The 8,215-nt window shown below is 43.0% G+C and overlaps 1 annotated feature.

Annotated features, from left to right (window-relative positions):
- Nucleotides 6,474–7,031: an enhancer, noted in NCBI's record as "H3K27ac-H3K4me1 hESC enhancer chr11:13228795-13229352 (GRCh37/hg19 assembly coordinates)". NCBI's record gives its function as "activates a minimal SCP1, AML or CMV promoter by ChIP-STARR-seq in naive H9 embryonic stem cells {active_cell/tissue: H9 hESC(naive)}" and the evidence as "EXISTENCE:reporter gene assay evidence [ECO:0000049][PMID:30033119]".

Here is an 8,215-nt window from a genome sequence, read left to right as displayed (position 1 = left end):
GTCTTTATCTGTGTGTGTATGTGTGTGCACATGCTTGTGTTGGGGGCAGGAGTGTTTAAATGATCATGTGTTACAAAAACATCCCCAGGCGAGAGCAGCAATTATTCATACCATACTGAACATTAACGAAGATTAAGATGGAACCATGTGGAAAATACTTGATGTCCTGTTAAGAGTGGGGAAAAGGCAAATCTCAAACTATGTGTACGTTATAAGTACCGTACGTAAAAAGTCAATTCAAATCTGGAAGGAAGGCAAGCTAAGAAACAATGAAGCTCTGACTTGTAAGATAGTAGGATTGTGGTAAGGTTTTTTAAATTTCACGGTTTGAGCATTATCTCCATGTTATTATAGACTCAGCTTCTTGAGTCTACCGTCACCTGGGCTGTGTATGTGGTCAGCAGTCCTAACGCTGTTTTCAATCTGTCTAGCTTTGATGTTCCTAGAGCTTCCTAGAGTAAGAGACCACCCCATCTGCAGCCAGTAGACCTGTGCACACACCCTCCTTGAAGAGACAGTTGATACAAAATCTTCAATGCTGGCCGTCCCTGTTTTAATCTGCCAAAAACCCAAGCCTAAATCCTCTCAGCTATCCCTTCCCTAATGATGCATCCTTTTTAAAAATTTTTTTCTTATTTTCTTATTTATTTATTTATTTTTGAGACTTGCTCTGTCACCAGGCTGGAGTGCAGTGGCGCAATCTCGGCTCACTGCAACCTCCGCCTCCCAGGTTCAAGTGATTCTTCTGCCTCAGCCTCCCAAGTAGCTGGGATTACAGGCACATGACACCACCCCCAGCTAATTTTTGTATTCTTAGTAGAGACGGGGTTTCACCATGTTAGCCAGGATGGTCTTGATCTCTTGACCTTGTTATCTGCTCCCCTTGGCCTCCCAAAGTGCTGGGTTTACAGGTTTGAGCCACCGTGCCCTGCCTTTGCCCTAGCCCCTGACCTACAAAGCTCTTATGACTGAGCCCTCTGGAATTGCTTGTTCCATAACCACCAAACCACCCCTAGATCTTCAACTTTTTCTCTGCTCCTTCCTGATACAACAGGCTGGCTTGCCCTAAAGACACCATGCATCCCTCTGCCCTCTACAGCCATAGATTGGAAGGTGTTGTCACTGTCCGCCTGGTTCCCAAGTGCTGTATCCACAACATTGTTTCTGTAACCACTGAGGATCATGCTGTTTTGCTCTCTTGTCCTCCATGTTGCCATCATCTTCCTGCCCACCACCACCTTTATGCCACGGAAGACTGGAGCACCTCTCTTATGGTCTTCCTTTGCATCTGTTTCTTCCATTTCCTTCCCTGTGAAGCTCCTCCAAAAAGCTGTCTCTCCTTACTGTCTCTATTTTTCGTCCTCTCTCCCTCTCCCCTCAGCAATTTTGTGCAGGCTGCTGGTCCCACAGTCACCAAAACAGCTCCAGGTCACGTCACTGATGACCTCCATGTCATGAAATTTAAGGGACATTTTTCTGGCCTCATATTCCTCGCCTTCTCAGCAGAGACTGCCAGTGTTGATCATTTACTCCTACTGGAAACGTTCTTCCCTCGGCTTTAAAAATGAAATGTTCTCCTGGTGTCTTCCCTAGTTTTCCTGTATCCTTTGCAGGCTTACACGTCCCATTCTCATCATCAAATACTGGTGTCCCTCCCTTTTCTTACTCTGTAATCTATTCCTAGGTGATCACATCCTCACCCACAGCTTCAGATATCTGTAGAGGACCTAGATGATTGTATTTCCAGACTCAACCTCTTCTCTGAGTTCCAGGTGTGCAGATCCAGTTTTTGATTTGATATTTTCATTTGGAAATCCCAAAGGCAGCTCAAACTCAACAGACCCCGAACCAAACCCATAATCTTTTACCACATACCTCCTCCTCTTTCAGAGTTCTCTGTCTTAGAGGGTGGTACCACCGTGCATCCAGGTGCACAAGCCAGAAACCTAAGAGCCATTGCTGGTATCTCCTTTTTTGTACATCCTGTCTTCAATTTACCACCAAGGGCTGTTTCTTTTCCCTCCTAAAAGTTTCTCAAGTTCACTGTTTTTCTTGATTTCTCTTGATCTCCAACAAGTAGAAGCCTTCGTCCAAGTCAACATTATTATTTTCAAGGACTATTGCTATCACTTCTCAACTGGGCCATCCTGTATCTAATCTGAGTCCCTTCAGTCCAGTCTCGAGAGAGCACCTGTGGTCATCTTTTTGAAGTAGCTATCTAATTATGTCATCCTCTGCTTAAAACCCATGATGACTCTTCATTTCTTTTAGGACAATGACAAAACCTTTACTATTGCCTATAGGTTTCCTCTCGCCTTTCCGCCCATGTCATTCTCTCTTCTCTAGTCACTCCAGCCTTCTATCCCTTCTTCATACTCCCCTATTTTCCCCTTGCCACAGGGCCTTTGCAGAGCACTTCCTTCTACCTGGAATATTCTTCATACCCCTGGTTTAGTCAACTTCTACTTATGCCTCATATATCATTGCAAGCATTACTTTATTAGGGAAATCTTTCCTGATTTCCCTAAAAAAGTCAGGTCACATTTATCTTTTATGAAGTTTCATAACACCATGCATGTACTTCTTCATGGCACCAATAGCAATAGAGAATTATATTATAGTGTCATTATTTGAGTAGTGGTTCTTTCTCTCACTGACAGTAGAGTCCTGGGGAGGTAGGAATCATGTATGATTTTGAATTAACATTGAGTCTGTAGCACAATTAGTACTTGAGCACCCAATTAAAAATAACAGCCTCCATCATTCTTTTTTTAATAGTTTTCTTTTTTCTTTTTTATAATCTTTTATTCTTTTTTCATAGCAGTTATAATCACTTGCCATATATGTGTGTATGTATATGGCAATAATATATATGTATTTATTTCCTTTGTTACATTGAAAGCTTCATAAGGGCAGAGAATTTGTCACTGATTTATTTTTTCCCAGCACCAAAAACAGTACCTGGCACTTGATGGTCATTTCATAAGTAGTTTTTGCATATGTAGCATTTAATAAATATTTGTTCAAAGAATAAATATATTTTGTGTAATAATAATAACAGCCACCCTCACCAGCAATATGATGGTACTTAATTAGCCCACCTAGCTTTATGCAATTGTATGTCTATATTTTCCATAAATTTATTATGTAAAGTTATAATAATTACTACCAAATTTATCAAAATAACTACATTAATATACAAAATTCAACCTTTACTATAGTCAGTAGTCAAGGTAACTTGTTTATCTGCTCATATACCCTTAAAATAATTTATGAATCCATTGCCCCAGAAGAGGAAAATCAAATAATGATGAACATCCAATCCATGATTGCAGTTAGATCTGTTAAGGAATTATTATCTGTCTCCTCCAGGGTAAGTGTTCTTTTGATCAGCCCTGCTACATTTCCCTTCGAAGAGGTCTTATGAATATTCACTGCCACTGATATGAATGGAAATGCTCATTTTCCTCAAAAAGGAAGGCAGGTTGGCAAATAACAAAATTGGCCATAGTAAGGATGGACTGAAGAGGGTGGAGGATGGACTAAGAGGGTGAAGGATGGTGGTTGGAAAGGCAGATGTCTAGGACTTGAAATCCTCACAGGACTGCCTTTATGTCTTGTACTGCAATCAGGCAGGCAAAAGAGTGGCTTGGGATGATGCTCCCAGCTTCCCAGTTTCTCCAAATCCTTACCTCTGCGGCTTCCTTCTGCAGTGGCCTAAGAAATCTAGGTTACTTGTGCCACCTGCTGCCCAGATTGTGGATGACTTGCTGACATGCATACACACCTCTTGGGATTTTGTTTGTTTGTTTGCTTCAAGCAATTTTTACCCAGCTCACTCCTTATCCATGGCTTTCTGACTTTCTTGTTTTCTTTTTTTTGTTGTTGTTCTTTACAGAGATAATCAAGGTAAACTGACTTTCTCCTCCTCTTGTCCTTGGAGCACACCTTCTGAGCTATGAATATACGTGAAAGCATGGTCTGGGAGGGTGCTTTGGAAAAAACTGGGGCTCACAGCTTCCACATGCTGTTCTCATTTCTGACCATGTTTTAACCTCTTGTTTCCATTCAATGCACTAATGGCCTTGGGTAGGCCCTGCTGGAACAAAGATGAATGAGACGTGATTCTGCTCCCCAAGGAGCTCATAGACTACTGGGAAGGGGGAGTGTAGATACATAAACAAATAATTAAAATTCAATGTTATGATAGGGACAATACAGACACAGAGGGAGATGTAAAGTCCACTGATGGGAACCAGCAGAGCTTTGGAGAGGAGATGCTGCTTACCTACTCTCTGAGGGATGGGCTGGGGTTCAGAAGGTGGAAAGGAGGACTGGCGTTTTAGGGAGGTGGAATGGCATTTGCAAAAGTAGCGGGGAAACAGCCTATTTGGGGAGTAGTGAGAAGTAATTTGGTAACCACTGTTAACATTTTCTCATAGGTCCTTCCAGGCTTTCTGACATGCATTTTCCTGTGTATATTTGTGAATGGATGAGTGTGTGTGTGTGTGTGTGTGTGTGTGTGTCTGTGACTTGCCTTCATTTCACTAAACATTGTATGTTAGAAGTCTCTCCGTGTCAGTAAAGAAAAGCTCCTTCATTTTTTAAAACTTCTGTAGTGTTCTATTGTGTTGATCTATTATAGTCCCTCTTTAATAGACCGTTTAGGTAGTTTCCAGTTTTTCACCTCCTATGTGTATCTTCGTGAACCAATGTCTAGAGAGGAAGTTGCTGAGTTAAAGGGTACCTACATTTAAATATTGACTGCTATTACTTAATGACCTCCAAAAAGGCTTTACCAATGTATACTCTTCATGGAGTGGCTAAAGTATGTCATGGCCTAGTAAGTCTTTCACATTTTCCCCTTTCTGCCTTAATCCATGGCATAATTTTCCTCTCCCGAAAATAATGATCCTGACAGCAATCCTACATGTATGGAATGAGTTGCCCCCATTTTACAGATGACAAAAAACGGAGGATCAGAGGAGTTGGGTCTTATCCACAGTGCCCCAGGGAGTCAGAACCAGAACTAGAACTCGGGCCTTCAGAATCCTAAAGCTTTTTCTACTATGTTGCTAGGCAACACTTCTCCCTTTTGATTCTTGTGCCAATGCTACTTGTTGCCATGGTACTGCTGGGACAAGGAGCAATAAGTTGTAATTAAGCAGTGAGCTAGAATCTTTGCTCCTAGCAGAAAAGGTTTTGTTTTGCCCTTATGTGTGGGTGGACAGGAGATAAGGCCACCAGGGCTGCACTTGGTGCAGAGAGGGGCAGTTGGAAGAAGCCAGCTGATTATCATGTAGGTTTCATGTGAGGGCGGATGTTCATCTTCACTTTGCCCATTTGAAACCATGTTTGCCCAGAAATGCCTGGATGGGGGTGCTGTGTGGGGTCCCTGCCTAGACACTGGCTTGTCAAAAATCAGCATCCAACTTCAGTGTGTGCCTTCTCAGTCTAGAAGAAATAGGGGCCTCGTTGTTAACAGCACCATTCTGGAATCAGACAGGTCTGGGTTCAAATGCTGGTTTTGCCGCTTACAGAAATTTACCAACATTTTCTGATTCTCAATTTCCCTGTCTGAGTGGGGACAATCAGGGTGACCTCGTAAGGTGTTCTGTGTATTGAGTGAGAAAATGGGGCTAATCACTTAGCCAAATGCCTGACATTAACTACCATTTGTTAAGCGATCAGTGCATGTAGCCAATGCTAGCGTTTTATTTTTATCATTCACCCACCCGTTCTTCTTTGTATGCTTTGCAGTAATCAAAGGGTTTCCAAAACATCTTTAGTATTCCATCACTCAGTGCTGAGTTGAGGGATTACGAAAGCTCATCATGTTTTTCTCTTTAGACAAGAACACTCAAAAACAGATTTTCAAAAGATTTGATGTAGTGAAGTTCTGCACCTCAGAAATGTGTGTTATCTGCCCCAGGAATGAGTCATCGGTAGTAGGAGGAAAAGTGAAACTGTTTTTCAAAGGCGACACAATGGAAATTGCACAATTCAAATTACTGCAATTGCCTTTTCAGCTGAATCCAAGGAAATGTTTTGTTTTTTTTTTTTTCAATTCATTCAGTTGACTTTTTGAACACTTCTTATTTGTCAGGCCCCATGCAAGGGGTGAAAAGATGAATAGAACATGGCCCCTGCCCAGGGAGTTCACAGTTTAGTAGGGGAAGAGGAATTTGAAATAATTACAGCAATGCGATAGCTGCTGTGGTGAGGTCTGTGGATGGCGTTGCGGGGACACTAGAGCAGGAAGTCCTTAACTCGGGGAGAGAGGGAAGTCGGGAGAGAGAGGAATATCGGGAAACACTTCACAGAGCTGGTATCAGCTGGGCTAAGTCTAAAAAGATAAGGGCAATCAGCAGGCAGAAGGCACTTGGGCAGAGAAAATGGTGGGGAAGCGGGAGAGAGCACGGAGCCTTCAGATCTGGGTGGGGGACAAGGCTGGAGGAGCAAGCGCCTGCACCCACAGGCCTGGCCCTGTGCTGCATAACTCACTCCTTCTAAAAGCACCCCCTGCTCCCTCCCATTCTTGCAGTGCTCACTACTTTCCTCCTGCTCCTCAGGTTTGCTGTCTCTGCTCCTACCCGGCCCCTCCTCCCCTGCATTCTTACCCTGGGCTTCATCTTCTTTCTTCCTGTCACACCTGAAACTCCAAACCCTTACCTTTTACATCCCTTGCAAAGATGTTCCAATGATCCTCGATGCTACAGGGTAAATATTTCACTTGTTCTGGTCTTTTGTGCAACCCTCTCATCAGGCATAGAACTTAATTCTAGATTTGCACCCATTAGAATACGAATCTCACCCCAAGGCAGCCAGGAGGAGCTGTCTCCATTGCAAACGCACTGATTCCTTTATTCCTTCTCCTAGGTGTGTCCTGAGGACATGGCTCAGCTACTAGACTTTTTTTTTGGTTTTTGTTTGTTTAATTCTTTGTCCTTTAGAGATAGGGTCTCTCTCTGTCACTCAGGATGGGGTGATCACAACTTACTACAGCCTTAACCTCCTGGGCTCAAACCATCCTCCCACCTCAGCCTCCCGAGCGAGTACACTTTTGATGCGGGAGAGGCCTCGTCATTTGCAAGTGAGGCAGAGCAGTGCCACTTCCAGCTGACCACGTGGCCTAGGAGGTAAAGACCTAGGCCATCCAAGTATGTTGGGGTTCCAGCTGTGTCTGAGGTGGGGATGTGACTTTGTGTTTCCCCACCTCTGATTAGTGGGAGTGTGCCAAGGTGCCTTTCATTGTTTCTCCTGGGACAGAGAATCAGACAGCTACTACTCCACAGAGTTCTCGTTGCTGGCCCAGGCTCTTCTTTGGAATGAAACTGTCTGCAATGTAGATGCAATTCCAGGAATAATTATAAACCAATCCACAATGAACTGTCCCTGAAGACTGAGATGCCCAGGTGCTTGTGAGTGGCTGCTGGTCTGACCATTTGGATGCCTCTCTGAATAAATTTACCCTAGCAGGGCCAGGCTGCATGCATCATTTTACATATTGCTTACTATTGTGAAAACACATTTTTATATTCTGGCTTTTTACACTTAATAATACGTTAATAAATTTTTCCATCTTGTAGGCTTTCTAGTTGTCATATTTAATTACTTCATAATATTTAGGTGAGTGAATTGATCATAATTTACTAACCTTTCGGCCCACAACTGAATATTTAGGCAGGTTCTAATTATTTTGTTAGTGTGCTTAATACTTCGAGGAACATCTTTTTGTTTATGTTGATTAATCTCCTCAGGATAAATTCCCATGAGTAGAATTTCTAGTTCAGGAAGCCTAACCAACACTTCTGGAATGCGCTTCCATTCTCATCTCACCTAACCGCTCTGGTTTTATGCTTGATTAGTTACTAGAATGGGATAGAAGGAAAAAGGAAGTAAGCAGAGATTCTGGGGTTCTTCCAAAAGTCAGGCTCACTTAGATATGGGAGACTTGGGGCCACCAGATAGCTGTGTGGGGAGACATGGTACTAAGAGATCAGGGAGAAAGACACACATCAGAATGACACAGAGATAACCATAGTCTCTGAATTAGTCAGAAGAGGCTAACGATGGCAGCAAATAGCCCCAAGCTTTAACTACAAGGAATAAATTTATTTCTTGCATAGGGATAGATGGGGCAAGGGACCTTCATTCAGGCTATTTCATACCGAGACATCCCCCTGCTCTGGGTCAGAGGGATCTTCTCCATGCA

The sequence above is a fragment of the Homo sapiens genome, chromosome 11, assembly GCF_000001405.40.
Source record: "Homo sapiens chromosome 11, GRCh38.p14 Primary Assembly".
NCBI lineage: Eukaryota > Metazoa > Chordata > Mammalia > Primates > Hominidae > Homo > Homo sapiens.
The sequence above is the reverse complement of the archived record's forward strand: the minus strand, read 5'-3'. Positions and strand labels throughout refer to the sequence as shown.